Source organism: Homo sapiens, chromosome 16 (assembly GCF_000001405.40).
Source record: "Homo sapiens chromosome 16, GRCh38.p14 Primary Assembly".
In the NCBI taxonomy this organism is placed as follows: domain Eukaryota; kingdom Metazoa; phylum Chordata; class Mammalia; order Primates; family Hominidae; genus Homo; species Homo sapiens.
Window position 1 is genome coordinate 3,618,579 of NC_000016.10, and position 20,273 is coordinate 3,638,851.

General features: G+C 42.7%; 1 protein-coding gene across 9 annotated transcripts in view, besides 2 other annotated features; it reads left to right on the forward strand.

The window, feature by feature from the left end:
• Positions 1-20,273, forward strand: part of DNASE1 (deoxyribonuclease 1) — a 53,702-nt gene that overhangs the window by 6,819 nt on the left and 26,610 nt on the right. The gene's annotated exons all lie outside the window — the stretch shown is intronic.
• Positions 7,416-7,515: an enhancer, noted in NCBI's record as "active region_10331". NCBI's record gives its function as "activates an Ori minimal core promoter by ATAC-STARR-seq in GM12878 lymphoblastoid cells {active_cell/tissue: GM12878}" and the evidence as "EXISTENCE:reporter gene assay evidence [ECO:0000049][PMID:35858748]".
• Positions 19,032-19,081: an enhancer, noted in NCBI's record as "active region_10332". NCBI's record gives its function as "activates an Ori minimal core promoter by ATAC-STARR-seq in GM12878 lymphoblastoid cells {active_cell/tissue: GM12878}" and the evidence as "EXISTENCE:reporter gene assay evidence [ECO:0000049][PMID:35858748]".

The following is a 20,273-nucleotide window of genomic DNA, read 5'->3' on the forward strand; positions in this document are numbered from 1 at the left end:
AATTAGCCGGGCTTGGTGGTGGGTGCCTGAATCCCAACTACTCGGGAGGCTGAGGCAGGAGAATCACTTGAACCTGGGAGGCAGAGTTTATGGTGAGCTGAGATGGTGCCATTGCACTCCAGCCTGGGCAACAAGAATGAAACTCCGTCAAAAAGAAGAAATGCTCAAACAAAAACGTGTACACCTCATATTCAGTCTAAATGCCCTTCAGTGCATGAATGAACAAAATGTAGTATAGAATGGAATACATGTTACACTGAACATTTGCTTATTTCCGTTTTGTAATTTTTTTTTAGTGACAAGGTCTCATTTCTGTTGCCCAGGCTCGAGTACAGTGGCACAATCATGACTCATGGCAGCCTCAGACTGCCAGGGATCAAGTGATCTTTCTGATCTTCCCAACTTCCTTATCTTCCTGACTCAGCCTACCTGTAGCTAGAGCTAGAAGGGCCCCTGGGTAATTTTTTTTTTTTTGAGACGGGGTTACACTCTATCATCCAGAATGGAGTGCAGTGGGGCAATCTCAGCTCACTGCAACCTCCACATCCCAGGCTCAAGTGATCCTCCTGCCTCAGCCTCCCTAGTAGCTGGGACTGCAGGCATGTAAAACCACACCTGGCTAATTTTTTGTATTTTTAGTAGAGAAAGGGTTTTGCCATGTTGCCCAGGCTGATCTCAAACTCCTGCGCTCAAGTGATCTGCCCACCTTGGCCTCCCAAAGTGCTGGGATTACAGGCATGAGCCACAATGCCTGGCCTGTGGGTAATTTTCTTTCTTTCTTTTATTTTTTATTTTTTTTTGGAGACAGAGTCTCGCTCTGTCGCCCAGGCCGAAGTGCAGTGGTGTGATCTCAGCTTACTGCAAGCTCTGCCTCCCAGTTGCATGCCATTCTCCTGCCTCAGCCTCCCGAGTAGCTGGGGCTACAGGCTCCCGCCACCACGCCTAGCTCCATTTTTGTATTTTTAGTAGAGACAGGGTTTCACCGTGTTAGCCAGGATGGTCTCTATCTGCGGACCTTGTGATCTGCCCACCTCGGCCTCCCAAAGTGCTGGGATTACAGGCATGAGCCACTGTGCCTGGCCGCCTGTAGGTAATTAAAAAAAAAATTTTTTTTGTAGACACAGGTCTTGCTATGTTGCCCAGGATGATCTCAAATTCCTGGGCTCAAGTGGTTCTCCTGCCTTGGCCTCCCAAAGTGCTGGGATTATAGGTGTGAGCCACCACGCCTGGCCCTCAGTATTTTTAAAAATTCTAATTTCCATTTACAGCTCTACTAAATATTTCATCGAGTCAGCAGATTGGTTATAAATATAACGAAAATTCATATGTATGGCTTTTCTTTTTTTTTTTTTTTTGAGACAGAGTCTTGCTCTGTCACCTAGGCTGGAGTGCAGTGGCATAATCTCGCCTCACTGCAACCCCCGCCTCCGGGGTTCAAGTGATTCTCTTGCCTCAGCCTCCTGAGTAGCTGGGACTACGGGCATGCGCCATCACGCCTGGCCAATTTTTGTATTTTTAGTAGAGATGAGGTTTCACCATGTTGGCCAGGCTGGTGTTGAACTCCTGACCTCAAGTGATCCACCCGCATCGGCTTCCCAAAGCGCTGGGATTACAGGCATGAGCCACCTCGCCAGGCCTGTGTATGGCTTTTCTTTTAAAAAGTTTACATGTCATATTTACCACATTACATTCATTGAGTCACATCATTCATCACATCATTTAGTCACGTGACTGGGTAACAAGCATTTCAGAGATCAAAAGGCTTCGTATAATTAGTAAAGAAACCTTTTATTTATTTATTTAGAGACAGAGTACTCAGTGTGTCACCCAGGCTGGAGTGCAGCGTGGCCTGATCATAGCTCACTGTAACTTCGAGGCTGCAGTGAGCTGTGATCATGCCACTCTACTTTAGCCTGGGTGACAGAGTGAGACCCTGTCTCAAAAAAAAAAAAAAAGTAATTATACTATGCATATTGCATCATGAGCATTTCTCTAAGTCAGTAGATAGGAAGCCATATTATATTCCATATTTAATCAAACATTCCCCTGTTGATAAAGATATATTTATAGTTTTTATCATTATAGATTATGCAATAAATGTCTTTGTACTTATAACCTGTATGTGTGTGTTTTTATTTCTTTTGGAAGGAGTCCTAAATCTAGGATTTCTAGGCTAAAGGGTATGTGTGTTTTGTTTGGTTTGCCTGATTTTTTTTTTTAAAAAGTTTATTATTTATTTTGAGACAGAGTCTTACTCTGTCACCCAGGCTGGAGTGCAGTGGCGCAATGCCGGCTCACTGCAACCTCCGCTCCCCAGGTTCAAGCGATTCTCCTGCCTCAGCCTCCGGAGTAGCTGGGATTACAGGCGCCTGCACCACACCTGGTTAATTTTTGTATTTTTAGTAGAGACGGGGTTTCACCATATTGACCAGGCTGATCTTGAACTCCTGACCTCGTGATCCACCCGCCTCAGCCTCCCAAAGTGCTGGGATTACAGGTGTGAGCCACTGTGCCCGGCCTATTTTATATTTTTTTTAGAGACAGGGTTTTGCTGTCATCCATGCTAGAATGCAGTGGCACGAGCATAGACTCGAACTCTTGGGCTCAGACAATCCTCCTGCCTCAGTATCCCGAGTAGCCAAGAGTACAAGCGTGTGCCACCACACCCAACTGACTTTTAAAAATTTTTGTAGATATGGGGTCTTGCTATCTTGCCCAGGCTGATCTTAAACTCTTAGCCTCTGGTGATCCTCCTGCCTCCAAAAGTGCTGGGTTTACAGGTATGAGCCATTGCTCTTGCCTGGTTTACCTGTTTTAGAAAAGAATACCTGTACATTGTTAATTTTTTTTGTCCAGGAGCTTCAGAAGGGTACAAAAATTCCCTCCTACTTCTGGCCCCCTGACCTCCAAACTCCCTCATCAGAGGCTTCTTGAAATATTCCAGATAATTCTGTGCACATACAAATATAAATATATATCCCTGCTTTTCCCCAATGTAAATAAACGGTAGCACATTTTACCCATTGTTCTGAACCTCGTTTTTGCAACTTAATGAACTGTCTTGGAGATTTTTCCTTATTACATATAAATCTATCATTTTGTTTAGCAGTTGCATTATATGTCATCATTTGGATACATTCATACTTCATTGTATCACCTATCAAGGGACATTAGATGGCTTTCATTTCCTTCTACAATGGCTAATGGTGCATTGAACATACTTGTATATACTTTTATGCAGATTTGCACATATATTTGTAGGATATTCCTGTAACATAAGTGGAATTGCTGGGTCAAAGGATATGGGTAAATCAGAGTGTTTTGGGGTGTTACCCAGTTACCTTCTAAAGAAGCCAAATTGGCCAGGCGTGGTGGCTCATGCCTGTAATGCCAGTACTTTGGGAGACCGAGGCAGGTGGATCACTTGAGGTCAGGAGTTTAAGAACAGCGTGGCCAACATGTTGAAACCCCGTCTTTACTAAAAATATAACATTAGCTGGGCATGGTGGCGCACCCCTGTAATTCCAGCTACTCCAGAGACTGAGGCAGGAGAATCGCTTGAACCCGGAAGGTGGAGGTTGCAGTGAGCCAAGATCACACCACTGTACTCCAGCCTAGGTGACAGAGCAAGACTGAAAAAAAAAAAAAAAAAAACGGAGGCTGAATCAGTTTCCATTCCGTTAACAATGAATGTCTTTTTACTCATATCCACACACTCACAGAATATATCATGAAACATTTTGTCTTTTACTATTTCAGCGGTTAAAAATTGGTGTCTTGTAGCTTTACTTTACATTTCTTTCATTGAGGAAACGAGTATTTTCTTCACGTGATTAAAAGCTACTTGTTTACCTATGACCTTATGTTTGTGGGCTTTGCATTCTTTTAGATTGTGTGATTAATCTTTTTCCTATTGGTTTGTAAGATTATGTGATTAATCTTTTTCCTATTGATTTGTAAGAACTCTATATTGTGGAAATGGATATAGTGTTACAATGTTACAGATAGTTTTTACCAGTTTTTATCATTTGACTTAAAAAAATTTTTTTTCTTTTTTGAGGTGGAGTCTCACCATGTTGCCCAGGCTAGACTTGAACTCCTGGGCTCAAGTGATCCCCCTACTTCAGCCTCCCACGTAGCTGGGACTACACCTATGTGCTACTGTACCTGGCTTGGCTTTGACTTTTAATAAAATTTTTTCCATGTAGAGCTTTACAGTTTTTTGTAGTAAAATAACTTTTCTTGTATGCACATACCTTCTTCCAGTGTTTGACTCACCTTTACGTTCTCTTAATGATGCCTTGTAATGAACAAAGGTTCTTCAAAGCTGGAGGCATCACATTACCTGACTTGAAATTATACTACAAGGCCTCTTTTGGGAGAGTGAGGGGAAAGGATTTCTTGAGAGCTTGAGACCAGCCTCGGCAACATAGTAAGACTCCATCTCTAATGTACCTGCCCCCCACGTCCCCCCAAAAAAATTAGCTGGGCATGGTGGTGCACACCTGTGGTCCTAGCTACTCATGCAGTAACTAAAACAGCATGGTACTTGTACATATTTTTGTACCATAGATCAGTGGGACAGAATAGAGAACCCAGAAGTAATGCCACTTGCCTGCAACCAACTGATCTTCAATAAAGTTGACAAATATGCAGTGGGGGAAGGACACGCTATTCAATAAATAGCGCTGGGAAAATTGGCTAACCATATATAGAAAAATGAAACCGTACCTCTATCTCTCACCGCATACAAAAATTAACTCAAAGACTTAAACATAAGACCTGAAACTCTAAAGATCTTAGAAGAAACCCTAGGAAAAACTCTTCTGGATATTAGCCTAGGCAAAGAATATATGACTAAGACCTCAAAAGCAAATGCAACAAGAAGAAAAATAGGCAAATGGGACTTAATTAAATGAAAACACTTCTACACAGCAAAAGAAATAACAGAGTAAATAGACAACCTATAGAATGGGAGAAAATATTTGCAAATTAAGCCTCTGGCAAAGGACTAATACGTAGTATCTCCAAGGATCTCAACAAGAAAAAAAAACCCATTAGTAAGTGAGCAAAGGCTGGGCGTGGTGGCTAACACCTGTAATCCCAGGACTTTGGGATGCTGAGGCAGGAGGATCACTTGAGGCCAGGAATTAGAGAGAAAGTAGGCAAAGGACAAGAACACATACTTCTCAAGTGAAGACATACAAGCGGCAAAGAAACATGAAAAAGTGCTCACATCAGTAATCATCAGAGAAATGCAAATCAAAACCACAGTGAGATATCATCTTACACTGGTCAGAATGGCTATTATTAAAAAGTCAAAAAACAACAGATGTTGGCATGGATGCACAGAAAAGGAAATGCTTATATGCTGTTAATGGGACTGTAAATTACTATAACCTCTATATAGAAAACAGTATGGAGGCCAGGTGCGGTGGCTCACTACCTGTAATCCCAGCACTTTGGGAGGCTAAGGCAGGCGGATCACTTGAGTGCAAGACCAGCCTGGCCAACATGGTGAAACCCCGTCTCTACTAAAAATACAAAAATCAGCTGGGCGCGGTAGTGCACGCCTGTAATCCCAGGAAGCTGAGGCAGGAGAATCGCTTGAACCCGGGAGGCAGAGGTTTCAGTGACCTTAGACTGTGCCACTGCATTCCAGCCTGGGCGACAGAGTGAGACTCTGTCTCAAAAAAAAAAAAAAAAGGTTAGTGGCTTTTGTGTCCTTGGTTAGCAAGGTCTTCTCTACTTTGAGATTATAAAGTAATTTTCTGCATGTTTTCTTCTAGAGTTTTTATTTTTACATTAAAATTGTTATTGGCCAGCTGCGTAAGGCACCTGGTGGTGCTCTAGGCACTGGGTTAGCGTCCCTTATGCCGAGCTCTAAACCTTCAGAATGCCCTTGCCGCCCCTGGCTGAGTTCACAGTGGCTGAAGCTGTTCCCATAAGACCCTGAATCTAGCAGCCACTGTGTACTATACCTGGAGCAGTCCAACTGGGTGGACTGTGCTCAGCATCCGAACATCTAGACAGGCAAAGCCATTCCCAGTGGTGGCCCAAACCAGCAAACATTGTGTAACAATTTTTTTGCAATCAATTTTTCTTTTCTTGTTTTTTGAGATGGAGTCTTACTTTGTCGTCACCCAGGCTGGAGTGCAGTAGTGGGAACTTGGGTCACTGCATCCTCTGCCTCCCAGGCTCAAACAGTCCTCCCACCTCAGCCTGTATTCTATTTCTGTAGCTGAGAATATAGGTTTCTTCCAGCACACCTGGCTAATTTTTTATTTTATTTTTTATTTTTAGTAGAGATAGGGTTTTGCCATGTTGCCCAGGCTCGTCTCGAACTGGGCTCAAGTGATTTGCTTGCCCCAGCCTCTCACAGTCTGAGATTACAGGTGTGAGCCATCATGCCCAGCCTGCAGTTTTTCTTATTAAAACTTAATGGGGGCCGGGGGCAGTGGCTCACTCCTGTAATCCCAGCACTTTGGGAGGCCTAGGCGGGCGGATCACCTGAGGTTGGGAGTTCAAGACCAGCCTGGCCAACATGGTGAAACCCCGTCTCTACTAAAATACAAAAGTTAGCCAGGTGTGGTGGTGCATGCCTGTAATCCCAGCTACTTGGGAGGCTGAGGCAGGAGAATTGCTTGAGCCCTGGAGGCAGGGGTTACAGTGAGCCGAGATCGTACCACTGCATTCCAGCCTGGGCAACAGAGTGAGACTCTGTCTCCAAAACAAAAAACAATAAAACAAACTAATGGGGCTAGGCATGATGTTATATTCTTGTAGTCTCTGAAACTTGGGAGACTGAGAAGGGAGAATTGCCTGAGCCCATGGTTCAAGGCCAGCCTGGGCTGTGTAGTGAGACCCATCGCTGCAAAAAAAAAATTGTTTAAATAAAATTAGCCAGCATGGTAGCACATGCCTCTACTCCCAGCTATTCAGTAGGCTGAAATGGGATCGCTTGAGCCCAGGAGGTCGAGGCTGCAGTGAATCATAATCGCCTTTCTGCACTCCAGCCTGGGCAACAGAGCAAGACCCTGTGTCAAAAAATAAATAAATAAATGAAACGGCCAATATAGAATAAAGGTGCTAAAAAAGGCATAGGAGGGAATCTTCATGACTTTGGGGTAGGCAAAAAATTCTTAAACAGGGACACAAACCACTAACCATAAAGAAGTGACAAATTATGTGACATTAAAATTAAGAACCTTTATAAGGCACCATTAAGAGGGTGTAAAGGGCTGTGCATGGTGGCTCATGCCTGTAATCCCAACACTTCAGGAGGCCGAGGCAGAAGGATCGCTTTAGCCCAGGAGTTTGAGATCAGACTGAGCAAAATAGTGGGACCCTGTCTGAACAAACAATTTAAAAATTAGCCGGGTGTCAGGGCATGCGCCTGTAGTCCCAGCTACTCTGGAAGCTGAGGTGGGAAGATCACTTGAGCCTGAGAAGCCAAGGCTATAGTGAGCCGTGATTCTGCCACTGTACTCCAGCCTGGGCAGCAGAGCAAGACTCTATCTCAAAAAGGGTGTAAAGATACCACAGACTAGAAGATGTGTGTGATGTGCACGGGACTAGTATCATATGCACAATGACAAAGGATTAATATCTAAAGAAATCCTAAAAAAAAAAAAATAGAAAAACAGGCAAGAGACTTGAGTGGCCAACAGGTATATGAAGAAGTGTTCAACTTATTTAGTCAAAGAAAATGCAAATTAAACCACAGTGAGTGATCACTAAACTCAGCAGCATGAACAAAATGAAGATAACTGCTAGACAATAGCTAGTGTGGTAAGGACTTCCTGTTTGAGCCATGGTTATTTAGAAGTATGTTGCTTAATATCAAGTGTTTGGAGAGTTCCCTCATTTTTCTGTTACTGGTTTCTAGTTTAATTCCATTATGGTCAGAGATCATACTTTATATGATTTCAATTTTTAAAAATTTGTTTTGTGACTTTTATGGCTTAGAATATAGTCCATCTTGAGTGCTCCAAGCTTGAACACTTGAAAACACTATATATTTCTCTGTTGTTAGGTGGAGTGTCCTCTAGATGTCAGTTAGATCCAGTTGGTTGATGATGGTGTTCAGGTTGCTGATTTTCTGTCTACTGGTTCTATGTATTGAGAAGTGTTGAAGTCTCCAGCTCTGATAGTGGATTTGTCTGTTCTTCATTTGTCAGTTTTTGTTTCATTTATTTTGAATCTCTTTTGTTAGATGCGTATGCACTTAGGATTATGCTGTCTTGATGAATTGACCTTTTTTATCATTATGTAATAGCCCTCTTTTATTTATTTTATTTTATGTTTTTTAGAGACAGGGTCTTGCTATGTCACCCAGGCTGGAGCACGGTGATGTGATCAAAACTCACTGCAGCTTTGAACTCCTGAGCTCCAGTGATTCTCCTGCCTCCGTCTTCTGAGGAGCTGGGACCACAGGCACATGCCACCATGCTTATTTAAATTTTTTTTTTTTTTTTGGTAGAGACAGGGTCTCCCTATGTTGCCCATGCTGGTCTGAAACTCCTAGCCTCAAGTGATCCTCCCATGTTGGCCAAGTGCTGAGACTACAGGCGTGAGCCACTGCACCCAGCCCTCTTTATCACTGGTAATTTTCTTTGCTATGAAGTCTACTTTGCTTGTTTGACATTAATATAGCCAGTCCAGCTGTCTTTTGATTAGTGTTTGCATGACATATCCTTTTTTTTTTTTTTTTAGACAGGGTGGTCTTGCTCTGTCACCCTGGCTGGAGTGCAGTGGCATGATCACGGCTCACTGCAGCATTGAACTCTAGCTCAAGCCATCCTCCCACCTAAGCCTCCCGAGTATGGGACTATGGGTGTGTGCCACCATGGCTGGGTAATTTTATTTTTTATTTTTTTATAGAGACAAGGCCTCACTATGTTGCTCAGGCCCGTCTGGAACTCCTGGGCTCAAGTGATCCTTCCACCTCAGTCTCCCAAAGTGTTACATGAGCCAGTGCACCTGGCTTGTCTGTGTTTTCTTTTGTTTCCTATGACTTTGATATGATATCCATGTTCTTTTGCATGTGGATATCCAGTTTTCTCAGCAACATTTATTAAAAAGACTATCTTTTCCCCGTTGAATGGTCTTGGCATCCTTGTCAAAATCATTTGACCATATATGCCAGGATTTATTTCTGGGCTGTCAACTCTATTCCAATAGTCTGTATGTCTGTCTTCCTGCCAGTACCACATTGTTGTGATTACTGCAGTTTGTTAGTAAGTTTTGAAATCAGGAAGTGTGAATCCTGAATCTGTTTTTCTTTTTCAACATGGTGTTGGCTATCTGGGGTCCGTGGAGATTCCATATGAATTTCAGCATGTATTTTCTATTTCTGCAAAAAAAAAAAAAAAAAAAAAAAAGTCATTGGGATTTTGCTTCAGTTTACATATGAATCAGTAGCTCACTTTTGGGAGTATTGACATCTTAACAATATTAAGATATCTTGTCTTAACAATATCGTCCAACCCATGAAAGTGTGATGTTTTTCCTTACTTATATCTTCATTAATTTCTTTCAGCGATGTTTTGTAGTTTTCATTGTATGAATCTTTTACCTCCTTGGTTAAAAGTCCTAGGTATTTTATTCTTTTTAATGCTATTGTAAGTGGAATTGTTTTTATAATTTCCTTTTCAAATTGTTCAGTGTTAGTATATAGAAATGCAAATGATTTTTGTGTGCTGACTTTGTATCCTGCTGCTTTGCTGATTCTGTTATTGTAATTATTTTTTGTGTGTAATGTTTAGGCCTAGTTTTTTACATATCATATTAAATCTGTGAATTAATTTTACTTTTTTCTTTCCAATTTGGATATATATTTTTTTCTTAATTGCTATGGCTAGAACTTCCAGTACTAGGTTAAATAGTAGTGGTAAAGGTGAATGTTCTCATCTTAGAAGAAAATTTTTTAGTCATTCACTATTGAGTATGATGTTCATTCAATGTGCATTTCTGTTTTTTTCTTTCTTTTTTTTTTGAGATGGAATCTCGCTGTGTCGCCCAGGCTGGAGTGCAGTGGCGCAATCTCGGCTCATTGCAAACCTCCGCCTCCCGGGTTCACGCCATTCTTCTGCCTCAGGCTCCCGAATAGCTGGGACTATAGGCGCCCGCCACCACGCCCGGCTAATTTTTTTGTATTTTTAGTAGAGACGGGGTTTCACCGTGTTAGCCAGGATGGTCTCGATCTCCTGACCTCGTGATCCGCCCGCCTCAGCTTCCCAAAGTGCTGGGATTACAGGCGTGAGCCACCGTGCCTGGCTCTGTTTTTTTTTTTTTCTTTAAAAACTTTTAGGCTGGGCGCAGTGGCTCACGCCGGTAATCCCAGCACTTTGGGAAGCCGAGGCGGGCGGATCACTTGAGGTCAGGAGTTTGAGACTAGCCTGGCCAACATAGTGAAACCCTGTCTCTACTAAAAATACAAACATTTGCCGGGTGTGATGGTGGGCGCCTGTAATCCCAGCTACTTGGGAAGCTGAGGCAGAAGAATTGCTTAAACCCTGGAGGCGGAGGTTGCAGTGAGCCGAGATTGCGCCACTGCACTCCAGCCTGGGCGACAGAGCAAGACTAAGTCTCAAAAAAAAAAAAAAAAAAAAAAATTGTAATAAGCTTTCTCGGGTTTAACAATGTAGGTTTTTCAAATATGGCTTTATGTTGAGATATTTCCCTTGTACGTTTAGTTTGTTGAATGTTTTCATTTTGAGAGGGTGTTACATTTTGTCACATGCCTTTGCTGCAGCAATTGAGATGATGTGATATGTTTCCCATTATTCCATTAATGTGGTATGTTACATTGAATTTTGTAGGTTGGACCATCCATGCATTTCAGGAGTAAATCCCACTTGTTTGTGGTGTATAATCCTTCTAAAATGCTACTGAATTCAGTTTGCTAGTATTTGTAGAGGATTTTTGCATCATTGTGCATAAGGGATATTAGTCTGTGGTTTTATTTTATTGAATGCCTGGTTCTGATATGAGGGTAATACTGGCCTGTTAGAATGATTTAGGAAGTATTTCTTACTCTCCACTTTTTTGGAAAAGTTTTGAGAAGGGTTGGTACTACTAGTTGTTGTTTAAATGTTTGGTAGAATTAATCAGTGAAGCCTTCAGGTCCAGGACTTTTCTTAGGAGATTTTTGATTACTGATTAAATCTGCTTACTAGTTACAGGTCTCTTCAGCTTTTCTGTTTGTGATTTAGTCTTGGTAGGGGTTTTTTAATTTGTTTTTTTGTTTTTAAAACAGAGTCTTGCTCTGTTATCCAGGCTGGAGTGTAGTGGCACAATCTTGGCTCACTGCAACCTCTGCTTCCTGGGTTCAAGCGATTCTCCTGCTTCAGCCTCCCAAGTAGCTGGGGCTACAGGCACCCGCCACCATGCGCGGCTAATTTTTGTATTTTTATTTTAGTGGAGATGAGATTTTACCATGTTGGCCAGACTGGTCTCAAAATCCTAACCGCAGGTGATCTGCCCACCTCGGCCTCCCAAAGTGCTGGCTTGCAGGCGTGAGCCACCACGCCCAGCCCTTGTTTGTTTTTTGTTGTGTGTGTGTGTGTGTGTGTTTGTTGTTGTTTTGTTTTTTGTTGTTTTTGTTGTTGTTGTTTTTGAGACGGGGTCTCACTTTGTTACCCAGACTGGAGTGCAGTTGCGTGATCACAGCTCGCTGCAGCCTCGACCTCCCAGGCTCAAAACGATCTTCCCACCTTGGCGCCCCAAGTAGCTGGGACCACAGGCACACGCCACCACACCTGGCTAATTTTTGTACTTTTTTGTAGAGACAGGTTTTCTCCATGTTGCCCAGGTTGGCCTTGAACTCCAAAGCTCAGACATCTGCCCACCTCAGTCTCCCAAAGTCTGGGATTACGGGCATGAGCCACTGTTTCTGGCTATTTCTCCCTTCAATTCTGTCAGTTTTGCTTTATATATTTTGATGGTCTGTTATTAGTTGTAATCTGTTTATAATTTTATCTTCTTGCTGTATTGAACCTTTATATAATGTCCTTTTTTAATCTTTTTTTTAAATTTAAAGTCTCTTTTGTCTTATAGTAATAGAGCCCTGCTCTCTTTTGGTTAGTGTTTGCATGGAATATGTTTTTCCATCCTTTGACTTTCAATCTAGTTGTGTCTTTGGATCTAAAGTGATTCTTTTTTGTAGTCCCAGTTACTTGGGAGGATGAGGCAGGAGGATTGCTTAAGCCCAGGAGTTCAAATCTAGCCTGAGCAACATAGAGAGACCCTGTCTCTCTAAAAATAAAAGTAAAAATAAAAAAGTAAGTTTCTTATAGATGGCATATAATTGGGTAATGTAGTTTTTTTCCACGTTGCCAATCTCTGTCTTCTGATTGGAGAGTTTAATCAATTTACACTTAGTTACTGATCAGGAAAGACTTATGTCATTTTGCTGTTTCTTTTCTATATACCTTATAGGATTTTATTTATTTATTTTTTTAGAGATGGAGTTTTGCTGTCACCCAGGCTGGAGTGCAGTGGTGCAATCTTGGCTCACTGCAACCTCCGCCTCCTGAGTTCAAGCGATTCTCCTGCCTCAGCTTCCCAAGTAGCTGGGACTACAGGCGCATGCCATCACACCCAGCTAATTTTTTGGGTTTTTTTGTTGGTTTTGTTTTTGAGACAGAGTCTTGGTCTGTTGCCCAGACTGGAGTGCAGTGGCAATCTTGACTCACTGCAACCAACCTCTGCCTCCCAGATTCAAGGAATTTTCCTGCCTCAGCCTCCCTAGTAGCTGGGACTACAAGTGCCCCCCACCACACCCAGCTAATTTTTGTATTTTTAGTAGAGAAAGGGTTTCACCATATTGGTCAGGCTGGTCTCGAACTACTAACCTCAGGTGATCCACCTGCCTCGGCCTCCCAAAGTGCTGAGATTACAGGTGTGAGCCACTGTGCCCAGCCACCTTATAGGTTTTTTTGTTTTGTTTTGTTTTTAAATTGAGACGGAGTCTCGCTCTGTTGCCCAGGCTGGAGTGCAGTGGCATGATCTCAGGTCACTGCAACCTCTACCTCCCAGGTTCAAGGGATCGTCCTGCCTCAGCCCCCTAGTAGTGGGATTATAAGCACGCACTACCATGCCCGGCTAATTTTTGTGTTTTTAGTAGAGATGGGGTTTTGCCGTGTTGGGCAGGCTGGTCTTGAACTCCTGACCTCAGGTGATCCACCCACCTCGGCCTCCCAAAGTGCTGAGATTACAGGCATGAGCCACTGTACCCGGCCATGGATTTTAAAATCTCTAATTACCTGCATTATTGTCTTCTTTTGTGTTTAGCTGGAGTTTTGTAGGTTTTCTTTTTTCTTTTTGTAGTAACATGTTTAACTATTTTCTCATTTTATTTTGTGTAACATTGTAATTTGAATTTATAGCAGCGTAATTTCAGTAACATGCAAAAATTCTGCTTCTTTATAGCTTCATCTCCACCCCTTTCAGTTGTCACAAAATTACATTATTATATACTGTGTGTCCCAAAACATAAACTCATAATTGTTTAAATGCATTAGTCTGCTAAGGCGTGTTTTATGGACCCGAATGTGATCTATCTTGGTGAATGTTCCATGTGAGCTTTAGAGGAATGTGTATCCTGCTGCTGTTGGATGAAGTGCTCTATAGATGTCAATTCTGTCTGGTTGCTTGATGGTGCTGTTGAGTTCATTATGTCCTTACTGATTTTCTGCCTGCTGGATCTGTCCACTTTGATAGATTGATGTTGAAGTTTCCAACTATAATAGTGAATTCATCTGCTTTTCCTTGCAGTTCTTAGTTTTTGCTTTGAGGATTTTGATGCTCTGTTGTTAGGCGTATACACATAAGGTTTGTTACCTCATCTTAGAGAAATACTCCTTTATAATTTTGTAATGTCCTTTTTCTATCCCTGATAATTTTCCTTGCTCTGAAGTCTGCTCTGCCTGAAATTAGTATAGCCACTGGGACTTTCTTTTTGATTCCTGCTATGTCTTTTTCCATCTCTTTAATTTTTTCTCTCTTTTTTTTTTTTTTAAAGACGAGAGTTTCACTCTTGTTGCCCAGGCTGGAGTGCAGTAGCTTGATCTCAGCTCCCTGCAACCTCCAACTCCTGGGTTCAAGCAATTCTCCTGCCTCAGCCTCCTAAGTAGCTGAGATTACAGGCATCTGCCACCATGCCTGGGTAATTTTTGTATTTTTAGTAAAGACGGGGTTTTACCATGTTGTCCAGGCTGGTCTTGAAATCCTGACCTCAGGTGATCCGCCCGCCTCAGACTCCCAAAGTGCTGGTATTACAGGAGTGAGCAACTGTGCCCAGCCTCATCTCTTTAATTGTAATCTACCTATGTTTTTATATTTAAAGTGAGTTTCCTGGGTCTTCTTTTAACATTTTTTGCAAGGTGGATTTACTGATGACAAATTCCCTTAATTTTTGTTCTTCTGAGAAAGTCTTTATTTCTGTTCATTTTTGACCCAACACATGCTTGGGTCTTATTTTTGAATATATTCTGACATTCTCTATTACTTATTTGATGTATTTAGAACATTGACATTTAAAGTGATTATTGGTACAGTTAGATTAATATCTGCCATATTTATTACTGTTTTCTGTTGCTTTTATTCTTCCCTTTTCTTTTTATTTTGGTCTTCCACTCTTTTTCTGCTTTCTCTGGCTTTAATTGAACATTTTATATGATTACATTTTTTCCTCTCTTAGCATGCCAATTATGCTTCTTATTATATACTTTTAAAAAGTCTTGGCTGGGCGCAGTGGCCCATGCCTGTAATCCCAGCACTTTGGGAGGCCAAGGTGGGTGGATCACCTGAGGTCAGGAGTTTGAGACCAGCCTTGCTAACATGGTGAAACCCCATCTCTACTAAAAATACAAAAAATTAGCCGGGCGTGGTGGTGGACGCCTGTAATCCCAGCTACTCGGGAGGCTGAGGCAGGAGAATGGCTTGAACCCGAGAGGTGGAGGTTGCAGTGAGCCGAGATGGCGCCATTGCACTCTAGCCTGGTTGACAAGAGCGAGACTCCATCTCAAGAGAAAAAAAAAAAAAAAAGTCTTTGCCCTTGAGTTTGGTATTTACAGTTACAACTAATCCAATTCCACTTTCACCTGATGCTATACCACTTCATGGGTTGTACAAGTTCCCTCTAACAGAGTATTCTCAGTTCATCCTTACTGTCCCTTATGATATTGCTGTCATTAATTTCACTTATTCAAAAGCGAAATTATTATTTTTATTATTATTTTTTTAAGACCGAGTCTCGCTCTGTCGCCCAGGCTGAAGTGCGGTGGCTCGATCTCGGCTCACTGCAAGCTCTGGATTCCGGATTCACACCATTCTCCTACCTCAGCCTCCCAAGTAGCTGGGGCTACAGGTGCCCACCACCACGCCTGGCTAAGTTTTTTTGTATTTTTAGTAGAGGCGGGGTTTCACCATGTTGGCCAGGATGGTCTCGATCTCCTGACCTCGTGATCCGCCCGTCTCGGCCTCCCAAAGTGCTGGGATTACAGGCGTGAACCACCGCACCTGGCCATAAGTGAAATTATTGACAGCAATATCATAAGGGACAGTAAGGATGATTATTGACCCAATCATTGAATACATTGTTGCGGGTTTGTTTTTGTTTTTGTTGTCGAGACAGGGTTTTTTTGTTTGTTTGTTTGTTTTTTGAGACAGAGTTTCGCTCTGTCACCCAGGCTGGAGTGCAGTGGCGCAATCTGGGCTCACTGGAAGCTCCACCTCCCAGGTTTGCACCATTCTCCTGCCTCAGCCTCCTGAGTAGCTGGGACTACAGGTGCCCGCCACCATGCCCGGCTCATTTTTTGTAGTTTTAGTAGAGATGGGGTTTCACTGTATTAGCCAGGCTGGTCTCGAACTCCTGACCTCGTGATCTGCCCACCTCGGCCTCCCAAAGTGCTGGGATTACAGGCATGAGCCACTGTGCCTGGCCGAGACAGGGTCTTGGTCTGTCGTCCAGGCTGGAATATAGTGGTGCGATCATAGCACACCACACCCTTGAACTCCAGGGCTCAAATGATCCTCCTGCTTCAGCCCCTCAAGTAGCTGAGACGACAGGTGTGCACCACCATGCCTAGATAATTTTTTTTTTTAATTTCTAGTAGAGACAGGGTCTCGCTATGTTGCCCAGGCTGATCTTGAACTCCTGGTCTTAAGAAGTCCTCCCGCCTCAGCCTCCCAAAGTGTTGGGATTAACAGGTGTGAGCCATTGTACCCAGCTTTTAAAAATATTAATAATAGAGTCAGAGTGTTACTATGTGGCCCAGGCTAGAGTGCAGTGGCTATTCACAAGTGCAATCCCATGACTGATCAGTACAGGAGTTTTGACCTGCTTCATTTCTGACCTGGGCTTATTCACCCCTCCTTAGGCAACCTGGTGGTCCTTAAGGAGGGGAGGTCACCATTTTGATGCCAAACTTAGTGCAGACACTCAGTCCAAATAGCCCAGAACTCCTGGACTAAAGCTATCCTGCCTCAGCCTCTTGAGTAACTGGGTCTAGAGGCATGCACCACCATGCCTAGCTGTTGCTGTTATTACCTTGAACAAACTGTTAAAAATAAGTTAAAAATAAGAAAAGTAGACCGGGCGTGGTGGCTTTTGCCTGTAATCCCAGCACTTTGGGAGGCTGAGGCAGATGGATCGCTTGAGGTCAGGAGTTCAAGACCAGCCTGGCCAACATGGTGAAACCCCATCTCTACTAAAAATAAAAAAATTAGCTGTGCGTGGTGGCGTGTGCCTATAATCCCAGCTACTCAGGAGGCTGAGGCAGGAGAATTGCTTGAACCTGGGAGGCAGAGGTTGCAGTGAGCCAAGATCGCACCATTGCACCCCAGCCTGGGTGACAGAGCCAGACTCTGTCTCAAAAAAAAAAAAAAAAAAAAAAAGTAAGAAAAGTAAAATATTTTGCCTTCACTTATTTATTCTCTAATGCTCTTCCTTTATAGGTCTTTATTTCTGACCTGTATTATTTTCCTTCTTTCTCAAACACTTCTTAATATTTTTTGCAAGGCAGGTCTACTGATGACAGATTCTGTTAATTTTTATTCTTCTGAGAAAGTCTCTTCTCTTTTGAAGGGTAATTTTACTGGATACAGATTTTTAGGTTAATAGGGTTTTTTTTTTTTCCTTACAACACTATAAATATTCCCTCTACTGTTTTCCCTTGAATAATTTCTCAAAGAAGTGTGATGTAATTCTTATCCTTACTCCTTTATAGGAAAGGAATTTATTTCCCTGTGGCTTCTCTCAAGATTTTCTCTTTGTCTTTGATTTTCTGTAGTTTATTGTATGCTTACATGTAGTTTTGTTCTGTTTTTGTTTTTTGCTATTTATCCTACCTGGTATTCTGTGAGCTCCCCAGAACTGTGTTTGGCATCTGTCATCAGTTTTGGAAAATTCTCAGTTCATTATTGTTTCAGATACTTTTTCTGCTCATTTCTGCCTGTCATCATCTTCTGGATTCCCATTATGCATATTTATGCCTTTCTAATTGTCCCACAGTTCTTGGATATTCTGTTCCATCTTGTTCATTCTTTTCTCTCTGAGTTTCAGTTTGGGAAGTTGCTACTGACATTTTTTTTCAAGCTCATTGATTCTTTCCTTTGACTGTATCTAATCGATGAATCCATCAAAGGCATTCTTCACTTTTCTTAGTTTTTTTTGTTTCTAGCATTTCCTTTTGATTCTTTGAGTCTTTATCTCTGCTGAAATTACCCATCTGTTTTAGCATATCATCTACTTTTTCCATTAGAGCCCTTAGCATATTAATCATAGTTGTTTTAAATCAGAGTTGTTAGCTGTGATAATTCTAACATCTCTGCTATTTCTGAGTCTGGGTTTGATGCTTGCTATATCTCTTCAAAGTCTGCTTTTTAATCGTAGTATGCCTTGTAATTTTTTTGTTGAAAACCGGACTTGATGTACTTGTTAAAAGGAACTGAGGAGGCCGGGCATGGTGGCTCACGCCTGTAATCCCAACACTTTGGGAGGCTGAGCGGGGAGGATCGCTTGAGCCCAGGAGTTCAAGACCAGCCTGGGCAACGTAGAGACCCCGTCTCTACTAAAAATAGAAAAACTAACTGGGCATGGTGGCACACGCCCGTAATCCCAGCTACTCAGGAGGCTGAGGCACGAGAATTGCTTGAACCCGGGAGGTGCAGGTTGCAGTGAGCCAAGATCATGCCACAGTACTCCAGCCTGGGCAACAGAGTGAGACTCTGTCTGGGGAAAAAAAGAAAAAAAAACAGGCCAGGCACAGTGGCTCATGCCTGTAATCCCAGCACTTCGGGAGGCCAACGCAGGCTGATCACTTGAGGTCAGGAGTTCGAGACCAGCCTGATCAACATGGCGAAAGCCTGTCTCTACTAAAAATACAAAAGTTAGCTGGGCATGGTGGCAGGCGCCTGTAATCCCAGCTACTTGGGAGGCTGAGGCAGGAGAATCGCTTGAACCCAGGAGGCAGAGGTTGCAGTCAGTAGAGATTGAGCCAGTGCACTCCTGCCTGGGTGACAGAATGAGACTCCATCTCAAAAAAAAAAGAAAAGAAAAGGAAGTAACTGAGGAAAATCAGCCTTTGGTGTGAGTTTTTTAGTTTATCTGGCTAGGCGTTAGGCTCTGTCTGCTGTTTGCTGTAACTATAGGTGTCAGAACTAAAATTTCCTCCTGGGTCTGTTTTTCCTTCCTTGGGTTTCCGTAGAGACTTCTTAAATAAAGTCTGAGATATGCAGGTTTTTCCGTTCTATTCTCTTGTTATTATATAGGAGCCCTATTTATGTGGTGGGAAGGAGGGGAAGTGTCCTAAGTCCTGTGACTAGGTCTCAGTCTTTTTGTGAGCCTGTGCCCCTGGCCTGTGACTTTTACCAGCACTTCTCAGTTTGGGGTTTTTGCCTCCTTAGGTGAAACAGGAAGGGAGAGGGGGCTGGAGTTAGGCCCTTTCTTTCCTGCCTGTGGAAGGCTTAGGGGTGCTTAAGTTGGGTCAACCTTTCCCTTAGGCTGATGAGGATCTTATAAAACCTAATTAAGTTAGGCTCTTGTAAAATAGTTTCCTTTGAGGACAGGCCTTGTTAAGAACAGGAAGCTCTAGACATAGTCCACATGGCTGCTTTCCCCCTCCCCCGCCAGAAGTATGAGAGGATCTTTCTCTGATCTTGACTGTGAGAGTCTGGTAGGGCTCATGGAGGTAAAGTCCACATTGAGTCTCCAGCAGTTCATGAATTGCTGTGTAAATTTTCCTACCCTCGTTTCCACTCCTGGGCTCCTGCTCAGGTAAGCTCCAGTTCACCCTGTTGACATGTCTCCTGTGTCGGGGGCAGTCATTTGCCCTGTAACTTCAGTTCTCTGATGCAGCTAAAAGGGGTTGTTTGCCAGTTCAGTGTTGTTTCTTGTAAGGATGGTAGTGACAACTTCTAAGCTCCTGACATGCCTCACTGAAGAATGAAAGTCCTTTGCCTTCATTTTTTAATGATATTTTTGGTAGATAAAAATAATTCCAGTTGACCAGTTTTTGTGAGTGTGTGTGTGTGTGTGTGTGTGTGTGTGTGTGTGTTTTTCCCAGTACTTTAAAGATGTTACTTCTTTGTCTTTCCGCTTACAGCAGAAGTATCATGTCATTCTTACCTATATTTATCAGTACATAATATGCTTTTTAGCTTAACTGCTTTTAAGACTTTTTAATTTAACACTGGTTTTCTACAACTTGATTATGATGTGTCTTGGTGCAGTCTTCTTCAGGTTTATTTTGTTTGGGTTTTTCTTTTTTTTGAGGCGGAGTCTCGCTCCATTGCCCAGGCTGGAGTACAGTGGCGCAATCTTGGCTCACTGCAAGCTCCGCCTCCAGGGTTCACGCCATTCTCCTGCCTCAGCCTCCCGAGTAGCTGGGACTACAGGCGCCCGCCACCACACTCAGCTAATTTTTTGTATTTTTTAGTAGAGACGGTGTTTCACCGTGTTAGCCAGGATGGTCTTGTTCTCCTGACCTCGTGATCCGCCTGCCTCGGCCTCCCAAAGTGCTGGGATTACAGGCGTGAGCCACCACGCCCGGCCTCTGTTTGGGTTTTATTGACTTTCTTGGATGTGTGAATTGACAGTTTTCATCATATTTGGGAAATTTTGCTTATTTCTTCAAATATTTCTGTCTCCTCTTTGTTTTTCTTCTAGGACTTCCAATTATGTGCACATTAGACAGCTTGATAGTGTCCAATAATTTTTTCTCTCTGCCTTATTTGAGTAGTTTCAATTGCTATGTCTTCAAATTCAT